General features: G+C 38.6%; 1 protein-coding gene across 40 annotated transcripts in view, besides 1 other annotated feature; it reads left to right on the top strand.

Annotated features, from left to right (window-relative positions):
- BNC2 (basonuclin zinc finger protein 2) overlaps positions 1 to 27,313 on the top strand; it is a 461,168-nt gene that overhangs the window by 414,192 nt on the left and 19,663 nt on the right. For 17 of the 40 annotated variants that reach the window (XM_047423506.1, XM_047423494.1, NM_017637.6 and 14 more), the window contains one exon: positions 18,955 to 20,924. In XM_047423506.1, coding sequence (XP_047279462.1) covers positions 18,955 to 20,924 — 1,970 coding nt within the window. Of the gene's footprint in view, positions 1 to 18,954; positions 20,925 to 21,379; positions 21,446 to 24,991; positions 25,077 to 27,313 lie in introns of all 40 variants that reach the window. The other 23 variants (XM_047423513.1, XM_047423515.1, XM_047423491.1 and 20 more) reach the window with 3 other exon arrangements.
- Positions 20,019 to 21,218: an enhancer, noted in NCBI's record as "MED14-independent group 3 enhancer chr9:16435259-16436458 (GRCh37/hg19 assembly coordinates)". NCBI's record gives its function as "activates an origin of replication core promoter dependent on BRD2, BRD4, P300/CBP and CDK7 cofactors, and independent of MED14, by STARR-seq in HCT116 cells {active_cell/tissue: HCT116}" and the evidence as "EXISTENCE:reporter gene assay evidence [ECO:0000049][PMID:35650434]".

The raw sequence follows: 27,313 nt of genomic DNA, 5'->3' as shown, positions 1-27,313 counted from the left end.
GCTCACTGCAAGCTCCATCCCCTGGGTTCATGCCATTCTCCTGCCTCAGCCTCCCAGGACTCTGATTTTGTCTGCAAGTGTTCACCTCACATAAACTTTGCCTTTTTGATCTAGTGGGGTAACCTTCATGCCTTACTCCAAAGAAAATTGAACATAGAGCAAATAGAACATGTGAATTTATAGGCAATGTCTATTTGAGACTCCATAAAAACAGATGCTGAAAGAAAGATTAGGTGACAAAAATGTTGCCTCCTGACTTGGTAGGTAATTACAAGTAAAAAATGAAATGTTTTCCACCTTCTTTTCATTAGTGAAATTTTGACCTTAATTTCATGTTAAACTGGCATTAAGTCCTTGATAGGTAGTTGTCATGTAATAGTACCTTTTCTTCCTCTAATAGATATGATGAGTAAGAACAAAGTCCTCCTGGTGATTTAGAAAATCAGCTACCTGTTGATCCTAAGCAGTGGCTTGAGCTCTTTCATTGCACTGTAGTTCACAGAGAGAAGCAATTCACTAATTATAAAAGTTGGAATAAGGCAAGCTTTTTTATTCCATGGAACCATTATAGCTACAGATTTGGAAATAACAAATGCTACTAGGTATGAAAAGTAAAATAAGTGAAAGCCTTTTATATTTTATACCTTAGACTGCCTGAAGTTCCTTGTATGATTTTTTTTTTTTTGGAGATGGAGTTTTGCTCTTGTCTCCCAGGCTGGAGTGCAATGGTGCAATCTCGGCTCACTACAACCTCCATCTCCTGGGTTCAAGCGATTCTCCTGCCTCAGCCTCCTGAGTAGCTGGGATTACAGGCATGTGCCACCATGCCCCACTAATTTTTTGTATTATTAGTAGAGACAGGGTTTCACCATGTTGGCCAGGCTGGTCTTAAACTCCTGACCTCAGGTGATCCACCTGCCTTGGCCTCCCAAAGTGCTGAGATTACAGGTGTGAACCATCACGCCCGGCCAATATTTCTTTTAAAATACATTTCATATCCATTCATTAACATTGTTTTATTTCTGTGCTTTCCCCTACTCCCCCCACTCTGTGTATTTTCTTTTTGGTATAGGAGCAGAGCTCCATATTAAGAATTAAATGGATATATTCAAAATTAATTAGTCTCTCCTTTCATGTATCTATGTGTTTATTTTCTCTTGGCCATTTTAGTCTTACCAAGTCTTCTGTAAAAGATGCTCTCTACCACTTCTCCCTCTGCCCCACCTGCAGATGCTGATATATCTCAAACTCTGGCCAGGACTCAACTACATATTGTTTTGGTTAAAGTATTTTAAATGTGCTAATATTCAGTTTCACCATTGGGCAGTTCAGTTTTTGCCCACAATTGGAAATTGCCTCTAGTCTATCAGCTTTTAAATGTATATTCATTTCTCACATTTGCACCTGGGGCTCCGTTTCTCATACTTAGTCTCTAGTCCCTGCATTTCTTTTTCTTTCCAACTTGTTTTTCTGAGATAGCCACTCTTTTTCTCTCTTGCCATTTATTTTTACATTTGAGGAAATTTAAGTTTTTGCCCTTAAAACTATAAACAATTCTGTAACAAATGAACTAAGAATCATAGGCTCAACCAAGGTCTTAAAATATTTTCAGAAAGATGAATATTTACTTGTATTAGAAAATATTAATATTCTTATTTCTGAGTATATTATGTAAAACTTCTGGATATCTACATTTGCAAATGTGACTGCCTAATCAGACATTGAAAAACAGGTTTTAGGCTCACACTGGCTGTTTTTGTTTGTTTTATTTTTTAGTAAGGATGTCGCTAAAGAAGGTAGTTGAGTTTACAGAAGTAACAAGTGGTTAGTTTTCAACAGAAACAAATTAGGTATAAGAACAGCATAATTCATAAAAATTGTGTTGTGTGGCTCACGCCTGTAATCCCAGCACTTTGGGAGACTGAGGCAGGAGGATTACTTGAACTCAGGAGTTCAAGACCAGCCTAGGCAACATAATGAGATCCCATCTCTGTACAACTAAAATAAAAAATTAGCTGGGTGTGGTGGCACATGCCTGTAGTCCTAGCTACTTGAGAGGCTGAGCCAAGAGTATCGCTTGAGCCAAGGAGTCAGGCTGAAGTGAGCTATGATCACACCACTGCACTCCAGCCTGGGCAACAGAGTGAGACCCTCTCTCTAAAATTAAAAAATAATAATTGTATTATAAATGTGATGGTTTTAGTACCATCCAAGCTCTGCTCTAGGGGTAGAAAGATGTGTATTTTACAGACTCTGTACTCAGCTGGTTATACTGTAAGGGATTATCTGAGATTACATGTGGCACATAGATATAAAATAGAATGTGATTAAAAAAACACAAAAAAAAGCAGAATGGGACTTCTGAACAGATCACAGAATTCAAGAGAGAGAGATAACATTTGATAGGTGGGCCACAAATGATTCCCCAGCAGACTGATGACAGAATTCTAAGTAGAAGAGGTAGCATAAGCAAAACGTTGGTGGTGGGAGTATATAGTGTGTTCACTGAAAGCTAAGTTCTCTAGTTCTGGTGCAGTGTCAGAGTGTGTATGTGAGAACTAAGACATAAAAGGTAGATTGGGGCAGTTCTTGAATGGCAGCATTAAAGAATTTATGCTTAAATCATTTAGCAAATGGGACCGTTGAGGTTTTGTTTGTTTTGTTTTGTTTAAGATGGAGTCTACTCTGTCACTCGGGAAAGTGGCATGATCTCAGCTCACTGCAACCTCTGCCTCTGGGGTTCAAGCAGTTCTCCTGCCTCAGCTGAATATGGAAGTAGCTGGAACTTACAGGCATGAGACACTGGGCCCGGCTGAGGTTTATTTTAAAGGGAGGAGTTGTAATGTGGTCAGAGGTGCACTTTAGAAAAAGCACCTTGACACCAGAATGTCGTCAGAATGTGAGTGGGGTGAAAGGAGTGAATGGAAACAATGAGCACCTATCAAAATAATCCAGTTAGGATGTAATGTGAGCCATTACTAAGCTTGGGAGAATAGGTATAAAGAGATAGGTATATGAAACTCTCTTAACTCTTCAGGCCTGGATTTCAGAAGAATAGTGGGAAATAAAGTAGGAGAGGACATTGATGGGGTTTGGATGGGTGTGAGCAGGCAGGAGTGCCTTCTGTGAAGAGCATCTCAGTGGAGGGCTCAACTCAAACTGCTTCTTTGAATCATGGCTTCGAAAATTACTCACTTCATGATATTAGACAACTTTGACGCACCTCAGTTTTCCCATCTCTTAAGTGGGTTTGATAATAGTATCTCAAGCCTGATTTGGGTATAGATGAACAGAATACATATCTATTACCTAGCATCCTACTTGGCTCATTTTCAGGCCTCAGCAAAGTGTAGGTACTAGTATTTTTCTTTCATTTTCTTTGCTCTACCAGATAGTTACTTTTAATCCCATTTCATATGTGAGGAGACCAAGGCACAGACTGCATTGTTTAAATCCGTCCAGTAGCCTCTGTGCCTTTATGTGTTCTAGGTTTGGGTTTAGTTTTGTTTTGTTTTCAGAATTCAGATAGAAGTTCTTTTTGAGCAACTGATTACATTGATCTGTAGGCCAGATCCCTAAAGACATCCTTAGAGTTGAAGTTTTCCTTATAAAATAGATTGAACAGATGCAGAACAGAAATTAGAAATTGCAGGAAGGAGGGGAAGACCAGAAGAGAATTCAGGAATTAATCAATGTAAAAAGTTATTTGCAGAAGATAAGATGAAGGAAGAAAGTATGCGCCCACGAACATTTATAATTGTAATGGTTCTGCCAGGCGTGGTGGCTCACACCTGTGATCCCAGCATTTTGGGAGGCCGAGGCGGGTGGATCACCTGAGGTCAGAAGTTCAAGACCAGCCTGGTCAACATGGTGAAACCCCGTCTCTACTGAATATACAAAAATTAGCCGGGCATGGCAGCAGGCGTCTATAATCCCAGCTACTTGGGAGAATTGCATTAACCTGGGAGGCGGAGGTTGCAGTGAGCCAATATCGTGCCACTGCATTCCAGCCTGGGCGACAGAGAAAGACTGTCTAAAAAATAATAATAATAATAATTGTAATGGTTCATTATTTATGTGTCTAATATTAAACTGGCTCATTTAATTCATTTATTCACTCCATAAGCCTTTACAGAACTGCCAACTATATGAGAGACAGTGTTGCAGTTTGCTGATTTTTTGTACACTGGGATTTACCTTTGATCAAGAAAATGTACCACATAAAGGTAATCTCATTCCCAAAAGCATTTTCTAAGAATAGGTAACTTACTGGTACTTGCAGGGGAAAAAACAATGAAGATTAAATTTTAAAATGTATGCATTTTGCAAAAACTGTCATTCTTAACTTGTTCTTCACCCCTAGCGTACTAGTAATGATGCTGCCTCCCTGCACCATTGGTCCTGGGGAACTAGTTTACATTTTTAGGAAAAGCACTCGACCAGGTCAGGTCAGCTAGATTCTTGTCCCAAGTCAGCTACTTACACTTTAGCCTCCTGATCTTGAGCAAGATACTTACTTGTTAATTTCCTTCTATGTAAAGACAAAACATGGCACTAGATGATTTCTAAGCTGCCTCCCAAGTCCTACATTCATAGCATTTATAAACTCTGTGAGCATTGAGTCTTCTTGGCAGTGGGGATATCAAGGACGATAAACCTGAAATAAAGAGACCTACTTGACAGAGAAATATAAGCAGATCCCTGAAATATAAGCAGATCACTGAAGGGGCAGGTCATTTTTAATGGGAGTGGGAAGGTGGAAGGAAAAAGATAGGAGAGGAAACATTTCATGGAGAGGTTAATTTCAGTTGGGCTTTGAAGTATGAAAATGGGCATACCAGAAAGGCAGAGGGGTGCAGAGGTAGGTGAGATTTTGTAGTGTTCAGGATCATTTATGGCAAGTAGGTCTTTGTAGCTGGAGCTTCAGAGGTCTTGGCAGGAGATGATGTTAGAAATGTAGGTTGAGTCTATATTGAGGGGACTTCAGATGCCAGGTAAGAGGATTTATTATTTATTCTGTGTACAATAGGGAGCCATGAAAGGTTTGCTAAGAAGGGGAGTGAAATATTCCCAACCTCATGTTTTTGAAATTTGATGAAAGTGTGTAGAAAGTGGATTAAAGTGAGTAGGGAAATCCTGCTATTTTTTTAATGGCTATCTTCATCTGTTAACTTATACCCAGGTACCTTTTGGCATTTATATTGATCCTTCCAGGATTGCCCCCATTTCTGTAACCAGCACCGATTTCACCAACTCAGTAAAATCCTGTTGGTGCTTACCTTCTTTGAGGTGGCACCATGAGTTTATCTCTCTTAATTGTCTCCCCTAAACACACATTATTTTCCCCAGGCTGCAAAGTAGATATATCATTAGCAAAAGGTAAAAAGGCAACGAAATCCAGCCTTAAAAGATAAAGTTAATGATTTAGAAATTCACTTTACTCAGCTGTACATCCATAGATAGCCTAGATAGTTAAATAAATCAGGAAAGATTTTAACCCCTTAGTGGTTGTCACAGTGATGTCTGTCTTAACTGGCATCTCAGTCCCCTTAACTGCAAAGACTAAAAGAAAAGAGTATGGCACTTCCATTTTTCCCTGCAGCACCTGCTCAGTTGAAGTTGCATTGCTTTCATGCAGGACAGACACTGAGATTACTCTCTGGGGATCAGAACCCGAGGGGTTGTGCTTAGACTCCCTGGGCAAGGCCTGTCAACTCTGGCTTTCATGTTTCCCTTTCCTTTTGCTGCAGCTGTTTCTTCCAGCCTGTTCAGCAAGTGCACCAAGAGTTACTGTATGGTGTACATGCATGTTTCTACCAAACAGCTTTATCATCGGTGTTAGAAGCCTCTCTGTACAAACCTGTGGCTGTCATAAGGCGATTTGATTTAAGCTTTCTGCATGCCCAATTAATTGAGAGTTGAAAGCTATCCTTCAGATTGGTGTGGCCCTGTTACTTATGCTTGCCAGTTATCAGCCACCTTGGTGTCATATAGTGGAAGCATTTTGAATATTTTACATCTGAAAATGTTTTAAGATAATAAATGGCAGTCATCTCAGAATGCCAGATGTTTCTTCCTGTTCTCACACAAACATTTATTTACCTGATAATCTGCAGAATCATAGATTTCAGATTAAAAACAAATTCTTCTAAATTATCTGCAGTTGATGCAGTCTGTCTTTTTTAAATTATTATTTAAAGATGCTCATTTTGTCCTAATTTTCCCTGTAAATTTTATCAGAGCAGATGTGGTCACTGTGATGCAGCAGTGGCCTAAACTAATTTCACTGATGTAAACATTGTTAAACAATTTCAAATGCAACTTTGGAAACATTGTTTCTGAACCTGTTTAATAATGTTTAAAAATGCATCAATGAAATTGGCTTAGCCTGTGGCCTTTATTACATTATCTGTTCTCAATTACAAAGATTCTGTGTTTTATGTCTGGACTAGTTATAAGTCACTGAAAAAAAATGATGCCAGCTGAAGAGTGTGGCTTATACCTAACCCGTTTAATTTGATTTAAAATTGATGAACCTTGGAAAATACTTCCAGAATGCCATATCAGCTATCAAAATAATAGGAAATGTATTCAGGTCATCATATTGGCATTACAATTTTAGTTACCCTCCCCCCCCGCCCCACCTTTAACTTTTATTCCCATTGCTTTTCACCTCCCATTCACCCCCATTTCCATTGTTGTGATTCCACTACTAAATTCCAAGCTATCAGCTCTGAAATGCAACATAGAACATTAAATATGTTTTTACTAATTGTGATCCGCTAAAATTTAAGCTCTGTGCCAAAGCCTTTTTATTTTTATTTCAGAAGTAGTATTTAAGTGATGACATGCAGTAATTTGTTCATTCTTCTGTCAGTATAATTTACAAGGCAATGGCAGATAAACATAGCAATACAAGATTCATTTACGGTGACACAATGGCAGATACACAGAGCAGAACCCTGCCTATGAGATAAAGTGGACTGAGTGACTTATGCAGTAATTAGGGGATAATTGTCATTAACCTCACAAACAGTAGTTTACCCATATTGTTTAAAAGGCTCCAGGATGCATAATGACAAGGTAATCTGTCAAAGCGCTAGGGGGAAATATTAATAAGATTTGTGCAAGCCTGGATAGAAAATATGCAGAAAGCGGCCACATTAAGCTAATTGGTGGATGAATATACACTTGTAAAAGTGCTTCTAATGGCACGTTTGCAGCTCTCCAAATGACTACCGTTAATGTGGAGAAGTGGGCTGCTTAGAAAGTCAGGACTGCTGGGACAAGAGGGTATTAAGGCACGCAGACGCCGTTATTACCTTGTGCTCTATAATGTACGCTTTCTCCTTTTATCCTTTTTCATTTTGAATTTCTGAGGTTTTGTTATAGTAACATATATTGATTGTTTACTCTGATTATTCTGTATTTGATCTATATTTCTTCAGTCAGCCACCAAACCCCAAACACCTCTCTTTTGTGGCCCAATAAAATATATAATCTCTACGTTGATAGTGGCTTATTAATATACAGAAACACAAACTATTAATGCATATGTGGATTTATAATTATACACACATGTGTATGTGTGGGTGCCTTTTATAGGAACACATTTAATCTGAGCAATCAAAGGAAAGTAGATCCATTAACAGCCTTGTGTATGTGTTACAAGTAATAATGTGTTGTTCCCTGATGAATGCTAAAGCAGGAAATTAATCTTTGTGTTCTACGGCTATTCTTATACCCAGAAAAGAACAAAGTTAAATCTCCTAATACATCTTTCTGTTCAGTCACACACTCAGTCCTCAGTGTGTTTTATGGAATACTCAATCCTCACTGTTTTATGGAATACTGCTTACTAAGTATTCCATCCCTTTCTCGCCCTGCTCCCTCACATCCTAATGAATATGTTAAAGTTCCTTGGGGTTGTTCAATCAGCTTCATTTGTAAAGTAATTCAAAGTATAATATGTGAAGGAGAATCATCCATTCAAGCTTTGGAAGTTCTATACCAATATCAGTAATCTTGATTGTGCAGATGGAACCTTATGGAACCTCAAAGATAAGAGGTTGTAGCCTTGAATTGTTCAAGTTTTGGCCCTTACTTGATGTGTAAAATCACCATCATCATGTAAAAAAATTTTTTGCGCCTATTTTTGCTGTTTTTCAGACATTGTGGAAAAGCATATCTGGAAATCCCAGGGACTCTGGCATTTATGTTTAGAAATGTAAAGCCTCAACTATCTACAAATTTAGTAGTGGAACTTTGGTTTATGCAAGGAGAGGTAAGCTAGAAAATGTAGACCTCAAAGCAAAAATGTCAGAGAGGGCTCTGGTGAGTTCTGTTTATTGTAAAGCAAGCAGATTTATAGCTGTCCTAAGACCAGGGATTTATCTTTATGTCTGAGTGGACAAGAAAACAAGGCCGCTGCAGGGACTGTCCCTTTCTTTCCTCCTGTTTCTAGTGTTTTCCTTAAGGATCATAAACGGTTCCTTTGCTGTTCTAAACTATAAAATAAGTACCCTCTAGAATCTCCACTAGTTATCATCTCCATATGAAGAACTATTAAAGGGTTTAATTGAGGTGAGGGTCTTCTGTACAAATACTGCTAGTTTTTGGAGCTGCAAAGATTTCCGAAAGACTACCGATATTTGTTTACATAGTTTTTTTGATATATAACATTTATTTTGTACCTTCAAGTTGCAGAATGTTCACAAACCCTACTGGTATGATTTGGGGGTTTCCAAGGCCTCTTAGGGAGTCTTTGGGCAGTTTCCTTAGTTTACAAGCAGAATTTTTACTTGAACTGATTGATGATTGAATTGACCAGGAGTCAAAATTAATCCAAAAGAATTAGTGACTGTAATCACATCACTGACAAGCAGCACCAGACAGAAACATCAGGGGAAACATCCAGAATATACGATAATACAGGAACTTTCAGATAAAGGCATACTTTCAGTCATAAATACACATATTCTAAAAATACGTTGGTTACACAAGTTGGTTAAAAGTAAAAGGGTTTTAACATTTTAATTAAAGTGATTCATATGTTCAGATTCTAGGCATAAATAGTAGAATAATAGAATTGTAAAGCTGAGTTTTTAGTAAGGCTTACAAATTTTAGTATGACTCCTCTTTACATGTGAACATTAATTTTATTTTCCTCTGAGGTTGAATTTGTGTATGTTATATTTAGCCTAATCAAGATACAAAATCTGCTTTAGCCTAAAGGTATAGGGCTAGATATTCTGTGCTTAAGTTAAGGACTCATAGGTAATTTGATTTTAAAGATTGGTATACTAGGAATATCAACTGGATTTAGTATTTTCTATTTTGAAACTTAAATGATTCCTAAGATATTCTTATTAAATATTAAAATGTGTCTTTAAAAGTTTCTCAGGTTTGATTTACAATGCAGCGAGGTAACTTGAAAAATACTTTGGAATCTTTGAAGTCCAATTCCAGACATTGCAGAAAGTAATTTACTCCTTTGAATTTTTTTAATATGGCAAAGCAAGGCACCTGCTTTATTTATTTGCAAACAAATGCCCATAGAGGAAATGCATATGGCTGGTTTTAAGCTAGACAAGCTAAAATTCCTCAGTACAAGGAAGAAATCCTGACAGGCCTGTAATAGAGCTTAGCTGGAGCTTCTATGATTAAATATGTTGTACCCCAGAGTGATCTATCATAATCACTGTTTTTAAAATAAAAACGCTGTATAGACTGTTACTGAAGAAAAAAGGCATAGTACTCTATGAATTATACATTCTTATCTGGTCCGTAATCAAGAACATTCTGTAACAGTAAATTTTTTAAATCAAATGTCAAGCAATATTTTAAAAATCAGAAGAACCACATGAAACTAGTGCCCTGGCATTTTGATAATGTTATTTTGGTTAGAGAGGTGATCATTTTTGGAGAGTATATTGTTCAACTTGTGAATACATTACTTCTTTTAAAAATATATCCTTTCCATTGTGAAATTTTTTTCAAATATGGATCAGAAAAAAATTATAAATATTTGTATACTGGGAAATATATCAAAGCCACTACTTCAAAGTCACATAAAATTATCATGTTGCTTCTTCCTTCTAAAAACTAGAGTCAAGGGCCATGCTCCTCAAACTTCCACTTTAATCCAAGGAGAGGCATTCTTTTGACTATGTACTTTTTTTTTGCTAGTAGTTTGATATACCTCACCTCATTATATCACCATTCGCTAAGTTGAAGCACTTTGAATGCTATAATAAGAGTGATTTATAATGAGAGTAGTATATAATAAGAGTGAGCCAAGGTCAGTAGTTTCTGTATTCCTGTGTGTGTTTGTGTACATGCACATGTGTGTAATGAGTAACTCCTTTAAAGTATCAATCTTTATATGCAGTCAGTGTTTACAGAAAGAAGATTTAATGTTAATGTTAGCATGTCAGCTAACAAAGACTAATAAGTTATTTATCTTGATGGGAACTTCTTTAATACAAAGTTTTCTGAGAGCCCCAACATTCTAACTAATGGTGGATATTCCTGTAGCATTCATTTCCCCTTGGGCAGAGGAAGAATAGGAAAGATATTTCAAATTAAGTCCTTTATTATCTGGATGAACTGAATGTAGCATTAGCTGTGTAATCACAGCAAGCTGGTATACACCTATCTCTAATGTTTGCATACTTACTTCATGACAAAGGCAGTTTGGGGTGGATGAGGAAAGCATATTTGTTCACATAGGTCAATGTTAACAAGTAAAGTCCAGTCTGAATTTTTATTTCGAAATCATTCTTTCTGCCCATGCCACACCCTGAAGACTCTCACTCATGGGGCATCCCTGTCCTAGAGAGGAGAGTAGGGATGTGATTGGTCAGCATTGTATTTTGAAGGTAAAGGGATGCTGTTGAGAAATTCTGCAAAATACAAATTTCCAAATCATGAAAATTGAGTAGGGCTTTCGTTACCCAAAACAAATGTTGATTTAAAAAAAAAAAAGTTCTAATTTGAACCATTTGGTACATACAACCGTGATATGAATGAGTATGTTTCATTCTGCCTACAAATATTACAGTTGTTCCAGCTGGCCTCCTAGAAACATTAGCCCGAAGTTCTGGAAAAGCACAGTCACATAAAAGAGCTTTGTGTGAATAGAGAATGGTGTAATTTTGTTTACTTACACAAGCAAAGTGCTCTGATGTATATTGTGTATGCTAGCGGTGCATCTTCCTCCGTCAGTGCCCAGCAAGAAATATGTGTTTAATGTAAATCTGCTAAAACAAATAAACATGCCAAGTTCTTTTTCCACGATTTTAAGTGTTTCTCAGAAATTATCAAAACATTGCTTGAAAAATTTCCCTAAATGCTTCCCAGAATCTATTGTTTTCAATGAGAATTTTTTTTGTGTGGCCATTTTTATTCTTCTCCCCATCTTGCCTGCTCATACTTACACACTTGCAGGCACATAGACACACAACATTGATCCATGCACACTTTGGAAAGCCAAGTCTTATAAATTAGAGAGATAAACATAATCTAACAAAAAAGGGAAAAAATGACTCTGAAATAGTAGGGAGCAGTCAGATCAGTTAAACTTTTTGACTGAGGGTTTAAATACTGGCTTTAGAATGACAATTTAAGGTTGAAATATCTGCTTATTACATATGGACCCATCTCAGTTACAAAACAGGTAAATAGCGGGAGAATGAGAGAGAAGAGGACTGCACATATTATGTATAAGTGTTTTCTTCAGAACTGTTTGTAATGCTCAAAGGTTTCTCTTCCACAGAATATCTCCCTGAAACTCCTGCTTTCAGCACTCAGAGCCACCTCTTTCCAACCCACATGTGGGATCTAGGAGTTTTCCATTTGCTGACCCCTAGCTAGAAGTTTGTTGAATGCCCCTGTTCATATTACCTGAGATAATGGTCTGAGCCTATCACTCACTCCTGAGGTGATCCAGAAGTTAGATGGTATATCTCCTAATTTCTGGGTCACATTCTGATACATGTCCACCTAACCAAGAGGTCAGCACACCGGCAGGTGTAGGCAAGCAAAGGCGGATTATCAGTGTCTTGCAGAGTGTCTGCGAAGGTGTGTGTGCATAGCACATACCTGCTATATATTGGTGTTAGCTCTGTAGGGAGGTAGTCTCCATAGTTTTATGATTACACACCCCATTAGTAAAAATTTGTGAGCATGTACCCCCATTTATATATATGTAAAGCTGTTTCTAAACTCTGTGTGTGTGTGTGTATGAATGATACTAGCAAAAAATCACCTTTAGGTAAAAATAAATAGGAGTTTTCATGTTGACTCACCATGTCACAGTGGATTGTCTTGCATATTCCACTAATAGGAGCAAATGGGAGCATGTGTGCCTGTGATTTGGCCGTGCTGTAATACAGGAGGAAAGGAGTAAGGTGGCTTATAAACAGTGGAAAGCTGTACATGTTGAGTTATGTGTGTGAGAGTTCAAGCAATTTGCGTGATTTAATTTTTTGAATTAACTTCATTGAAGTATACTTTCCATACAATAAAATCCGCCAATTTTAAGTGTACAATCTATGTGGCCATAAAAACCTCAGCACAATCATGGTGTACAACATTCTCACCACCCCAAAAGTTCCCTAGTGTTGCTTTACACTCAGTCCCTTTCCCCTGGCAACTACTAATCCACTTTATGTTCCCATAATCTTACCTTTTCCAGAATTTCATATGCTTGGAACAGTAGCGTATGTATGTCTTTGGGTCTAACGTCTTTCATTCTTAGCATAATGCTTTTGAAGAGTCGTCCATGTTGTAGTCGGTAGCTTAGTTCTTTTTATTGTGCAGTACTATTCCATTGTATAGATATCTCACAATTTCTTTACCCCTAAGACTTGAACATCTAGAAAACCTGGTAAAATTTATGATTTAAGTTTTGCATAGCATTGTTTCATCAATTTTTAATTCAGCAATTACTGTTTCATTTTACCTAATGGAATACTTAAGCTAGGTAGGCTTGAAATTTGGTAATTTCTCTACTTTCTATCCAATCTGTTTCTCTTGCTTTGATATTTGAATTAACCCAGAAGGAAAAAGAATAGAAAAGTACAATAGGAAACTGATTATGAAAATAAATTGCCAATGTGGTTATGATGAAATAATTTCTTAAGATAGCACACTGTGCCAATCTAGACATGAAAAAATAAACATATCTCACAAACCTCTGATTTTGTTTTAGGTAGTCAGCAGTCCCTACAGGTCAGTGTCATTTAATTAAAAGCTCTACAGTTATATCAAGGGGGAAATACTTTTAGTTTTTAGCTAATCATTTTAGTATTTTCCATTAAATTATACCTTAAACTTGACTGAAAATAAGTTCATATGATTGAGTCTTTTAAACTGTTTGCTTCTTGTTTTGCTTTTTTTTTTTTTTTTTTTTGACAGAGTCTCACTCTGCAACCTTCACTTCCTGGGTTCAAGTGATTCTCATGCCTCAGCCTCCCGAGTAGCTGGGGTTAGAGGTGCCCTCTGCCACACCTGGCTAATTTTTTTGTATTTTTAGTAGAGACGGGTTTTCATGGTGTTGGCCAGGCTGGTCTTGAATTCCTGACCCCAGGTGATCCGCCTGCCTCTGCCTCCCAAACTGCTGGGATTACAGGCATGAGTCACCGTGCCCGGCTGCTTATTTCTTAACAATTTGACTACTGGAGCACATAGGCCTTAGATCCGTGCTGCGTCCAGTGTTTCTTCCTCACTTCCATTCTTGGACAGAAAGAAAGCAGTTGTTTTCCTGTATGCTGTGATGTGAGTTGTAGCCTGCCATGAACACAGGTGGGCTCCTTGTTGGACTGAGCTTGAGGTCCCTCGACAGTCTGATTATCCCAAAGCCCCTTATTTGGTTTCTCTTCCATCTCTTCACATCTGTTCCTTCCCTACTATCCCTCTTTCCCAATAAGGGAAACCAATCAACCTTATTTTACTTTGATTTTAAAACTATAAATCATTGAAGTGCTTTGATGTGGGAAAGGACTCAGATAAAACCATTTAAACCATGCATTTGATCCTACAACAAAAAGTTTTAAAAAGTCACTTGGCAGAGCCATACAGGAACAGGGTGCCAGATTTCTACAAGTGATAATCACCAGTTCCAATGAAGTAACAAAAGGAAGTCTTTTTATTTCAAATGTGTAGGTGTAAATATTTTAAGTCTTTTATACTTTTTCTGAACCCAGTAAAACTGGTTTATAAGTCTATATTATTTGGTGTTACTCATCTTTTAATTAACAGTATAGCCAGTTATTTTCACAGGAAATCAACACTTATGATAATAACTCGCATTTAACTTAACAGGGTAAATCTTATTATCCTCATTTTGTCAATAACATTTTTCAACCTGAAGGGTTAAAAGTCACTGTACTCTGGTTACAAATGGGAAAACCTAAAAGAATTGACTTACCAGCTACAAAATTGCAGGGAGGGCCAAGAGTTCAGTTATGTACTCTGATGTTAACATATTATTCATGCATAAGACCAGTGGCCCAGCATGAGTTGGTCGGTAGTTGGGATCTTCGTCCTAGCCTAACAGACTGAATTTTTGTTTTATTAGTGTTTATTCCACGATAATACCTAATTCTTTTTATAGCTCCAATTTACTTTTGTAAAGTTTATTTGACAATTTATACTGTTTGCAAGGAGGACTAGTTTTTCCAATACTTAAGTTAAATACAATAAAAATAAATTGACTAAAAAAATGTATCATGCCTTTAGTTGTTGCAGCAGTGTCCACTTGTCCCAAATTTTCCAAATGGTTACTTTTGTTCCAGATGAGTTAAAAAAAGAAAAGAGCCATCCAACTGACATTGGTCCATTTTTGAATAGCAATATAGACCATGCATAGAGGTCGTTACCTTCACAGAAGACTCTTAAACTAGTGATTCAGAATCAAAGCACCAAACCATACTTATTTCTATCACAAAGATCTTCAGAAAAAAACTTGGCATTTCTTTTTTCCCTTTGATGCTTTCTAACTCCCTTCAACGAGGTTAGTCAAAGATACAGTAAAACTGCTAGCCATTCTTAGCATCCAGCTTGCACACTTGTTAGGTTGTGTAAGATCAATTTGTTTCTTGTTGCAGTCTCTCCATTTATAAATGTGGTGAATTAGATAATCTTGATCAAATTGATAATGATTTTTTGGTTTTTGAGACAGTCTTGCTCTGTTGCTCAGGCTGGAGTGCAGTGGCACTATCATGGCTCACTGCAGCTTCAACCTCCTGGATTCAAGCAGTCCTTCCACCTCAAACTCCCAAGTAGCTAGGACTATAGGCACGGACCACCACACTTGGCTAGTTTTTTAATTTTTGTAGACAGGGTCTTGCCATGTTGCCTAGGGCTTAAGCCATCTTCCACCTTGGCCTTCCTAAATGTCGGGATTATAGGCATGAGCCACAACGCGCAGCCAATGATGACTTCTTTGGAAAGGACACCTATGGCACTATCAAGGGGACTCTAGTTTGGTGTTATAGAGCTATGTGTCCCGTTCTTAAGTCTATTTGTTTGCAAATATGCTTTGTTGTTTATCTGTGTAAATATAAATTGCTGCTTCTATTACCACTATAAATAAAGCTTCTCTTTTATGATTCAGGAACTAGCAAAGTTCTAAATCATACTTACCTGGATCTCTTTCACCAGAAGCAAGTGGTTTAATGTAACAGACTCCATTTTAGCAGAGACAGCAACTAAGCGCTAGAAGACAATCTGAAAAGCAGTGGTTTTAGAAATAGTAGTGGGCATTGTGGTGGGCCAGGAGAAACCATATGGGACTGCTCTGTACTGTAGGGAGAAAGAAGATAAAGGGTGATGGAAATGAGATGCCTCAGGTGGGACTGATCAGTTCCTATGGTTTCTGAGGTGCATTTTAATGCCAGAGGCTGCCAGTTGTATAAGTATATCACTGACATGTAGATTTAGGTACAGGCTACCTTGGAAGAACCTGGGGAAGATATGACTGTACATTGCTCAGATTGAGGCTCAGCCTGAGAAATTAATCCGTAGTGAAAGGCTCTGTAAAAGAACACTCAAGAGAGTAGATTTGATGGTACAAGAAAGATGGTATAGAAGAGGACATTATAGCACTCTAGAGAAAGACTTCCTCAGAAGTCCTGCTCTTTACTACCACAGACTCAATGGGCTTACCTGGGGAATGGCATCATGGAATGACAGCCACTGAGTACTGTGGACACACTCTAAACTTAGAGTCAGAATTTTTGTGTTCAACTCCTGGGCCTTCAATTAGTATCTTGACAGCCTTAACAACCTATCTTAGCTTTCTTCTCCCCTGATTTCTCATCTGTTCTCTGAGCTCTGGAAGTTACGATAGGGGTGAAATGAGATAATGTATTTAAAGTCACAACTTATTTCTCTATTTACCTATAGCACCAACATTCTTCCATGTTACCCCTGTTCCAAAAGCAGAATGTGAATGATACCAACTGCTGTGAGTGAGGTTTTGAAAATGGCGATGGCCGGACTTCAGGATCATCTGGGGTTGCCATGTGCCTGCACCCTTATGTGACTCTTCTGAGCAGATAGTTGTATAAGAGTATTTGATCTGAAGGCCAATTCTATCTACATGATGAAGGAGGGACATCTGTGTTTGACAGTTTTCATAGGAATGGACACCCACATGCACGTACTCACACATATTCTTTATGTAAAATGGTAGGATGCTAGGAGTGAGCCTTACAAAGGGGGGCACATAACTATCAGAGCTTTTTTAAAAAAGTAATTCAAGTAAATGCCAAATACCCACTTAATCAAACTAGCTGTGATGATTCAGACCATAGGGCAGTGTTTCAGAGAGAATTTTACATCCACAGGTTGAGGAGAGACTTTTCCCTTGCAAAAGCAGTACAGATCCCTTATGCCTCTCATCATGCTTCCCCTAGTGTAACATCCTACATAAAGCACAGTGGCTGAAACCGGAAAATTCAGATGGGTATACTACTACTAGCTAATCTAGAGACTTTATTCAAATGTTGCTAATTTTCCCACTAATGTCTTTTTTCTGGTCTAGGATCACACAATTATTTTTTATTAGTCCCCTCTAATCTGGAACCATTCTTCATTTTTTATAAATCTTTCCTGAACTTTACACTTTGAAGAGTACTATCTACTGTTTTGTAGAATGCCCCTCAATTTTGGTTTGCCTGATGATTTCTGATGATTGAGTTGAGGTTGTAAAATTTTTACAATGTGTTTGTCCATTCCCATGTACTAATAAAGACATACCCAAGACTGGGTAATTTATAAAGGAAAGAGTTTTAATGGACTCATAATTCCACATGGCCGGGGAGGCCCCACAATCATGGCAGAAGGCAAAGGAGGAGCAAAGTCACATCTTACATGGAAGCAGGCAAGAGCATGCGCAGGGGAATTCCCCTTTATAAACCATCAGATCTCATGAGACTTACTCACTGTCATAGGAACAGTACGGGAAAGACTCACCCCCATGATTCAACTAACTTCCACCGGCTCCCTCCCATGACATTTGGGGATTATGGGAGCTACAATTCAAGATGAGATTTGGGTGGGGACACAGCCAAACCATATCATTAGAAGAATGCCACAAAAGTGATGTCGTGCCCTTCTTAGTGTGTCCTAACAAGCGGAACATGATGGCGTGATTTCTACTCACGGTGGTAACGTCGATCACCCTTTTAAGGTAGGGTCTGTTAGGTTTTTTGCGATAATGTTATGATTTTCCCTTTGTAATTAATAAGTATCTTGTCATTTTGTTTTTAAGAAGATTCTTTGCTTTCTTAAATTCATGGTCAGGGTTAGGGCAAGTGTCACTCACAGAGGGATACAAAGTGTGCTGTCCCAATGGGAAGAAATGGTGCCCTAGAAAGTGATGGAGTCATTATTTAAGTGTTTGAATAGATCTCTCTCAATCCATGCTGAAATGGATCGCCTGACATTACATTGCAGGATTTTAAAGTCCTACCTCCAGGCAAATCTCATAGTTACTGGCAAAAATGAAAGTGTGAAATGCTTTTTAATGTATATTTAACAACACATAGTCTGGTGATTACTGATGTGTATTCTCTGTGGACTCCCTTTGCTATCAGAGGAGGATGCTGAGAGACAACTTTTTACACATTTATTCTGTCTAAATCCATCACATGTTTACTTTTTAAATATCTATGACTGTCATTTATAACAAGATCATAAAAAGTCAAATACATTAAGTCTAACTCAAACTTTGAATCATAGGATTACAACCAATTTTCAGGAAAAGTACAATTACCTTTTATGAGTGATGTTTTTCTTACTCTTCCTTATGAAATTGCCTGCTATTAAATGATACTAAAATATAGCCACTCAAAAAAAAAAGATACAGTTTAGTAACAAGGTATGAGGGGTAGTGCTACTTTATTCATCTTTTTGATTCAGAAATTCACATAACTCCTATTTAAAGGAATTTTCATCATTGAATCCAGTGTCATGTCTGCTTATGTTGAAGAAGTAAATTTCACAAGAAGTACTTAATTCCTTCCTATAGTATCACTATTTAATAAGGACTAAGGTACCATTTTTTTCATTTATATTGGATTTCACAGCAAGAGTTCACATCTTATACTAATATATGCTAAATAGTTGCATAGTATATAGATCATTGTTGTTAAAAAAGCAGTACTGAAGGCATTTTAGATCACAGAGCCCCAGTGGTCTACATTTTGTTTGCTTTGACATTATTAAACTCAATCTGTTTCTCTAACTGTGACTCTAATTACTACATTTGCATGGCAGAAAAGTTTGCTTTGTGGGTTGACTTTTATTAACAGTGCTTGCATGTTGTTTTCTGCTCTTGCTCAGTGTTTTATGAGCACACAGAGCACCTTCAGTTGCATTGAATAATTATGCACAATCAATAAGTTTTTGTGTTTGTCTTTGTTGTTTCTTTGATGTGGCCTCTAGGATGCTGCTGGCAAGGTGCTGGACCGCTGGGCCATCATGTCTCGAGAAGAGGAAATCATCACCCTTCAGCAGTTTCTGCGGTTTGGAGAAACCAAATCCATTGTGGAGCTGATGGCAATTCAGGAGAAAGAAGGGCAGGCCGTGGCTGTACCATCTTCAAAGACAGACTCAGATATAAGGACTTTCATTGAGAGCAATAATCGCACCAGGAGTCCCAGCCTCCTTGCTCACTTAGAGAACAGCAATCCTTCCAGCATTCATCACTTCGAAAACATCCCAAACAGCCTTGCATTTCTGCTTCCATTCCAGTACATAAACCCTGTCTCAGCACCACTGCTAGGGTTGCCTCCAAATGGGCTACTGTTAGAGCAACCAGGGTTGAGGCTGCGGGAACCCAGCCTTTCAACTCAGAATGAATATAATGAGAGCAGCGAATCCGAAGTTTCTCCCACACCTTATAAGAATGATCAAACACCCAATAGAAATGCCCTGACCAGCATTACTAATGTGGAGCCCAAAACCGAGCCAGCCTGTGTCTCTCCCATTCAGAATTCTGCCCCAGTCAGTGATCTAACCAAAACTGAACACCCAAAAAGCTCATTCCGGATTCATCGGATGAGAAGGATGGGGTCAGCCTCTAGGAAAGGAAGAGTGTTCTGTAATGCATGTGGGAAGACATTCTATGACAAAGGTACTCTCAAAATTCATTACAATGCTGTTCACCTGAAGATCAAACATCGATGCACCATTGAAGGTTGCAACATGGTCTTTAGCTCCCTCCGAAGTCGTAATCGCCACAGTGCAAACCCCAATCCTCGCCTTCACATGCCTATGCTAAGGAATAACCGAGATAAAGATTTAATTCGGGCCACCTCAGGAGCTGCCACCCCTGTCATAGCAAGTACAAAATCAAATCTGGCACTCACAAGCCCTGGCCGACCCCCAATGGGTTTTACCACTCCCCCTCTAGACCCTGTCTTGCAAAATCCTCTCCCTAGCCAGCTAGTATTTTCTGGGCTAAAGACTGTACAACCAGTTCCTCCATTTTATAGAAGTTTACTCACTCCAGGGGAAATGGTGAGTCCTCCAACCTCCCTCCCAACCAGTCCCATCATTCCAACCAGTGGTACCATAGAGCAGCACCCCCCGCCACCCTCTGAGCCAGTAGTGCCAGCAGTGATGATGGCCACCCATGAGCCCAGTGCTGACCTGGCACCCAAGAAAAAGCCCAGGAAGTCAAGCATGCCTGTGAAGATTGAGAAGGAAATTATTGATACCGCCGATGAGTTTGATGATGAAGATGATGACCCCAATGATGGTGGAGCTGTGGTCAATGACATGAGCCATGACAATCATTGTCACTCCCAAGAGGAGATGAGCCCAGGCATGTCTGTGAAGGACTTTTCTAAGCATAACAGGACCCGGTGCATTTCAAGGACTGAAATAAGGAGGGCCGACAGCATGACTTCTGAAGACCAAGAACCTGAGCGGGACTATGAGAACGAGTCTGAGTCTTCGGAGCCCAAACTGGGCGAGGAATCCATGGAAGGGGATGAGCACATTCACAGCGAAGTGAGTGAAAAAGTCCTGATGAATAGTGAGAGGCCTGATGAGAACCACAGTGAGCCCTCTCACCAGGACGTCATCAAGGTGAAGGAAGAATTTACAGACCCCACTTACGACATGTTTTACATGAGCCAGTATGGACTGTACAATGGTGGGGGTGCCAGCATGGCCGCCTTGCATGAGAGCTTTACATCGTCTCTGAATTATGGCAGCCCTCAAAAGTTCTCCCCAGAAGGTGACCTATGTTCTAGCCCAGACCCCAAAATCTGTTATGTGTGCAAGAAGAGTTTCAAAAGCTCCTACAGTGTGAAACTTCACTACAGGAACGTTCACTTGAAAGAGATGCACGTCTGCACAGTGGCTGGTTGCAATGCTGCATTCCCCTCTCGCCGAAGCCGAGACAGGTCAGTAAATCTCCATTGGCTGCTCCTGCTGGGGGTGGAGGGTGCCAGTTTTCAGTCATGTTGGACTTCACACTAAAAGAAATCCAACTTAGATGTTTTTGGTGCACTGTAAAGATTGTCCACAGTGATCATGTGATAACTAGGCTGCCATGCTCATGAAGGATTGTTGCAGTTGGTGCTTGTGATGATTAAGCATGCAGAATCATGTGCCATCTTACCCGTAATGCACGCCATTTTTCTCTGTGCTCTGTGTATACGTGTGTGTATGTGTTTTCATGCATCTAGGTGTGAATAAGTTAACTATGTACACGGTTCCCTGCTTCCCCGTGAACCTTCACTTAGAAGCCACAGCTTCTGTTATATATATATTTATATATTTATATTTCTGCTTTGCCATGTGGCTTTTTAATTAAATCAGTATATTATCTTCATACACACATATTTATCCAATATAGAAACAGAAATTTACGGATGGAAAGAACCATAGGTCCAGGACATCGAGACAGCCTGCATCTCCGTAGGTATAACCAGTAATGTTATCATTCCTTACATGAGTATTTAGTGTGTCCTTGAATTCTTTAAGAGTTGTGAAAATATCAGAAGGAAATGGGATAGATGTAATTGTTGATGTGGGAAAATGGTATGGTCGTGTGGGTTTCTTTATCTTAACTTCATAATGTCTTTGAGCACATCTCTAAACTATAGTCTACCATGCGGATTATGCACAGAAGGGGAGGCATGCATATACTTTGAGGATCAGCACGAATATATTATGTCCAGCCTTCAGATGACATCACACTCTTGCTATGTAGTTGCAGCTCTGAAACAGTTGGGCTTAAGCAGAAGCAGATGGTCCTAAACCTACAAGGTTCTTTATTAATCCTCAAGAAAATGCAGTATAAATGGAATGTGTCAAGGTGGTCAGTGGCAGGATAGTGCGGTTATCCTGCATTTGTTCAGATAAGCTTGTGAGCAGATCACGTACATAATACACCACCAGCCCAACTCGGGTCACACAGCAGTTAGTTATTCCCATTATATCAGATGCGGTTTTTGGTTCTACATTGTCTTCTAAAAATATTTTAGAGAAAATTTTATAACATGGTGGAAATCAATGGAAGAAACACATTAAAATTAACTAGAAAGTTTCTACAGAGCCACCAATAGTAAGCAGTAATTCTAGTGCTTGTCAATTGTGTAGAGTTCTTTGGCAAAGTAACATTAAAAGTACCACTGAAAAGTAGTGTCCTGTCCCTGGAATATTCAGTTTTGTCTTCATATTTGGAGATCAATCCTTTTTAAAATAAAAGTTTGAAGAATATTTTTTTCCTTTCTACTGAAATAAAAGGGGGCCAATCTTTGAAAAGCAAAATATTTAAGAAAAATAAGTAACTTTCTTATACAACCCAAAACATGGTTTGAGGAGAAACCATTTTTTTAATGATTTTCCCACCCCCATTTACTTTGTTCTGTAAACATGGTTTATAGTCACAACGTTATTTCAGTTCCAAGTTATCATTGACAGTCCCAGAATGCATCAGATAAGATAGCTATATTTTGAATAATAAAATACTGTACCCAACCTCCTCCAAGTTGTCAGTAATATTCATTCTTTTAAATTTGAGATAGTACACTACTAATAACGAGGTTAATGCATTGTATTTTTTTAAACAAAAATAAAAGACTCATGAAAACCTGCATAAAATATTTATGGAAATGGAGTGTTTGAAGACAAGCCAAAATTTAAGCTTAATTGCATGAATTCCTGTCACAGTTTTAGTTGGTTTGCTGAAAATATTGCAAGTCACAGCACTGGAATAAATAGCTGTGAGACCAAAAGGCTACACACCCAGTGTTTGAAGCCTTCATTTATGTAAAATTCCTAGAAAACGCAAGCGCTTGTATATTTATGTCTTAACACATAGGGAGGCACTGTTGAGGTACTGCTTGTTGGTTTATCTGAGGAAAAACATTTATTGATAGCAGGAAAATATTTCAGTCTTCATTTTTATTGTAGGTATCAGGATTTTAGTGAGTGACTAGCCATATATACGTTTAGACCCGCGTCTAGGATGACGAGGATATTCTAGGTGGGAAGAAGAGTACAGATGTGCTCCCAGGGTGTTCAGTCACATAGAAGATAGCAAGCTTCAGAAGACAGTTGATACATTTCATTTGGCTGAAATCACAGTATGCCCAGTCTTTTTCATTTTGGAGCTTTGTCACATAAGATAAATGAAAAAGCAAATTGCAAACATTGTAGAATAAAAACTTTTTTTATTCTCACTTGAAATTTTGCTTTTTAACAATATGCAACTCTTTTGATCTTAGGTTAGAAACACACAAGTTCTGATACTTTAATTTTGACATTATATTTTCTTAAGAAAAGTGTTCATCTTGGTTGAGTCTATGACTTGAATTAATATAATGTTATGAGTTTAGCTACACCAAATAACCAGTGATGCCATTGGGGTGCCTGCCTCTTCCTGCAGCTCAGCAGAGTGAACTGTGAAACATAATTGTATTCCTGTTTTAGCCTTTTATTGTTATTTTGTCAATGAATGTCAACCTGTGATTTAATCTCATTATTCACAAAGCCTCTTGGATTACATCTCTGATCTGTCTCTTAGACTTACCTTCTCCTGTCTCTTCACTTTTACTTTGTTAGTCACGAGAACCCCAGGAATTTTATCTCCTTGGTTTTTCCCTTTTAATTTGCTGTGAAGCTAAGACAAGTTTTCTTACCTTTTTCTTGAGCCAACAGACCTTCTCAAACAGAAACCCTCCTTTGTCTTTAATCCTGCTGTCCTCAGGCCCATTTCTTTCCTCTCCCCAGAGTCTCAGTTTCATCCATCCTTGACTCCACAATGTCTTCCTTGTGCAAATAAAGCATTAGAGGGGATTTTGAGTGGGGGCTGAAGTGTGCAGGGCTATAGGGTTTCTAGGATTCCTGTCATAAAGCTAACAGAATTGCCCTCTTCCTTCTGTTTACGAAAGCAGACTTCTTCATGATTCGAACACCTTGGAGGAGTTTTACACAGGTCTGCCTGGGCTTCTCCCAAAGTGGTTATACATGAGGTAGTTGCATTTTTGGTCTCCAGATAGGCATGTTAGTAAGATGGAAAGCAGAAAGATGTTAAATAGTGTCTTTTAGGTTTGGCAGTTAATTAGCAAAGATTTCCAGGTCTTTGTTTATGGTCCTTCTAGATTTTATAAGATCAAGTTGAAGATTTTTCAAAAGCAAGAATGCTCTTTGTGTAAAGTGACACAGAGGAAGGGGAGAGACACATGCAAGATTTGTTAGGGCTGAAGATTCCAAGCAACAGTGTCAAAGCTATTCTTTTCTATATAGTTGTAAATGAGTGTGTGTTTAACAAATTCAGAAGCCAAGAGGACCATTCCACACTGACAAAGAGCAAGCTAATACACACAAAATCTGATTCATCTTTGTTACTAGGTAGCTGTTAGAATAATTTTTATTCTGAGTGATAGAAGTGAAATGTAAAGAATTTTCTCTGTAAAGAACTCTGATGCTCTAAAGCAGGGGTCCCCAACCCCGGGGCTGCAGACTAGTACTGGTCCATGGCCTGTTAGGAACCAGGCTGCACAGCAGGAGGTGAGTGGTGGGTGGGTGAGCATTACTGCCTGAGCTCCACCTCCTGTCAGTGGTGGCATTAGATTCTCACAGGAGTGCAAACCCTATTGTGAAATGTGCATGTGAGGGATCTAGGCTGCGTACTCCTTATGAGAATCTAATGATAAATGTAACGTGCCTGAATCATTGAATCATCCCAAAACTATACCCCCTACTCACATCTGTGGAAAAATTGTCTTCCATGAAAGTGGTCCCTGGTGCCAAAAAGGTTGGGGACTGCTGCTCTAAGGTGACTGCTGAAGTCTTCAAGTATATCCTGATAGCAAGGTGTAGTGTTAGATTTTGAAAGTCTCTAAAGACCCTTTCCTCCTTCTTGTTTATCCCTTGATCTGTCTGCTGCTGAGGTGCTGTTCTGTTAAGGAACAGGAGGCTGCCCCTCCATTATGAAGTATACATATGAAATCTTTCCTAGGAAGAGGAAATTCTAACCGGCCTGGAACCTGCTGTCTTCATACGGGAGATTCTCTTGAAGAGAGCGTGATAGTCAGAATTAGCTGGTGGGTGTAATTTACCTTTCATCATTTCTCATACTCTGACTTGATTTTTGATCCCCAGGAGCTGAGTGGCATAGGTCACCCATTTTGAAGGGAAGCCTATTTATAAGTTGCATTTGGTTTTTATTCAGGAAGAAAAATAACAAATACCCTCTGTTCTGTTTCCTAATATTTCTTATCATTGGCTCATATGTTAAAATCTATTTATATTTGTCTTAATGATTGGCAGTTCTAAAATTCCATCTAAAATGAAGACTTTGTACTCAGAAACTAGATGATCTGTATAGTAAGAAGTCATTGTCTCTTTTTCATCCTACATGAGTTTTACTATCTTTGTTCCTTTCTTCTTCTCAGAGTAGTGGCCAGTAGTTGTCAAGGTTTGTCTTAAATTTCATCTGAAAGGTAAGCATATATGCTTGATCTTCAAGTTGTAGAAAGATGATTTAGCCATATGAATAAATTTAAAGACCAAATTATATTTGCTGAGGGTGATTTATAAATAAATATGAGGTAACCATTGGTGTCAAGTGTGAACCTTCCATTCGATTGCTAGTTTGATCAGTCCACATCTAAATGTGGAAAGTTCTGTATTCCTATGGCGGAAGACATGTGTATTTGATGTATTAAAACCTGCTGATGTCTCCAGAACTAAATTTGTTCCTTTGTAGGCCTCTGGGTTAGCGGTAGCTAAAAAGCAGAAATGTATAGTATTAGCTTGTCTGATTACCTGACTTCCAGCCCTGTACAGGTGTGCAGGAATAAATTAACATGAGCTACCTCTGATGAGCCACTGCATACATTAACGACAGAGGTGAAGATGCGAAAACATGTTACCTGCCTCCTGTTACCACCTTCTCAGCATAGCAACAACCATTTTTTCCATCATTCTCTATGTTTGGAAACTTATACAGAACTTTTTCTAGGGAGGGCTTTTCAGTAAATACACATGATTTCACCAGGCAATACCTCTAAGAAATGAGCCACTTAGCACCAATTCAAGATAACTATTAGTATATTTGCCCTAATATAATTAGCTGTCAAATACGATGTGGTAATCCCCTCCAAGTAAAAGAGGAGAACATTTTAAAGCATTAGCTGTTTCATTTCATTGCCAATCAAACTACAAGTCTCCATTTCTAAAATTCTCTTACAACATGAAGTTGTGCAGGTCCTCTGACTTCTAAATGTTAAGGAAGAGTTTTTTTTTTTTCCCTGCTACTCTATTTGGTTTCACAATAGAGCAAGATCAATAGACCTTTTGTACTTATCTTCCATTACTTTCCATCAGAAGCAAACACACAAAATACATCCCCCTCCTGAGTAATTGCTAGTTGTGCCCTCCTCAAGCAAAACTTTGGTAGTAAGATAAACTTCAGTGTCATTCCTGTCCCTGGGGTTCTTTTTAGATACTGGGAGAAGAGCAATGAGCAAAACGGTCTCCTTGTATCATGGGGAGAGACTCTGTCAAGCCTAAAGTGAGCCTCGGATCTTCCTAATGACCTCCTGCTGGCCCAGCTGGATGCAAGACAAGCTCGTTTAAGCCTCTGCTGACCTTTCACTCCTCCACTACAAGAACTGCACCACTCATTTCCACCGTCTTCAGAACTGTGCACCAAATAGACCACAAAGCTTCATGGCTGACGAATGATTTCCTTTTCATGATGCAAAGAGATTTTTACAAATTTCTATTGATGAGAGTTAACATTAAGTCTCTTGTGGCATTATAACCTCTGTTGCACAAATACAATGCTTCTATATAACTCTTATTTTTACCTTCCTTATAAAGGAACAATCTACTGTTCTTGCCAGCATTATCTTGAAAATTCAGGCCAAAATATCTGAGCAGAATGCACATACTGAGTGCACCGGTGGTATTTTTCATGAAGAGACCACTTTGAAAGGGTCTTCCTGATTTCCACCTCCCTCAGAATCTATCTGACCTTCTCACAGACTTTATTGGTGTGAATCTTTCTTATATTTAACCATTTATTTGAGATGCTCATTTTTGTAGCCCATCTTTTCTTTTTAAAAAACATGGGCTGGTTTCTACCCAGAAGAGGGTGGTAAGACTGTACATGTACGTTAACATTCACTTGTATAACTCAGGTAAGTTCCGTTTTGTCTTAGATGAAAGGCTGCTATCAACTCTTTTGCTGTAAGTGATCATTCGTGGTTGTACTAAGAGGAAGGGATACCTTCTTTGCCTAAATGCCATAGTGAAGGTTTAGCCATGAAGCATT

This window comes from Homo sapiens, chromosome 9 (assembly GCF_000001405.40).
Source record: "Homo sapiens chromosome 9, GRCh38.p14 Primary Assembly".
Classification (NCBI taxonomy): domain Eukaryota; kingdom Metazoa; phylum Chordata; class Mammalia; order Primates; family Hominidae; genus Homo; species Homo sapiens.
Note: the sequence above shows the minus strand (reverse complement) of the source record. Positions and strands in the feature narration are given on the sequence as shown.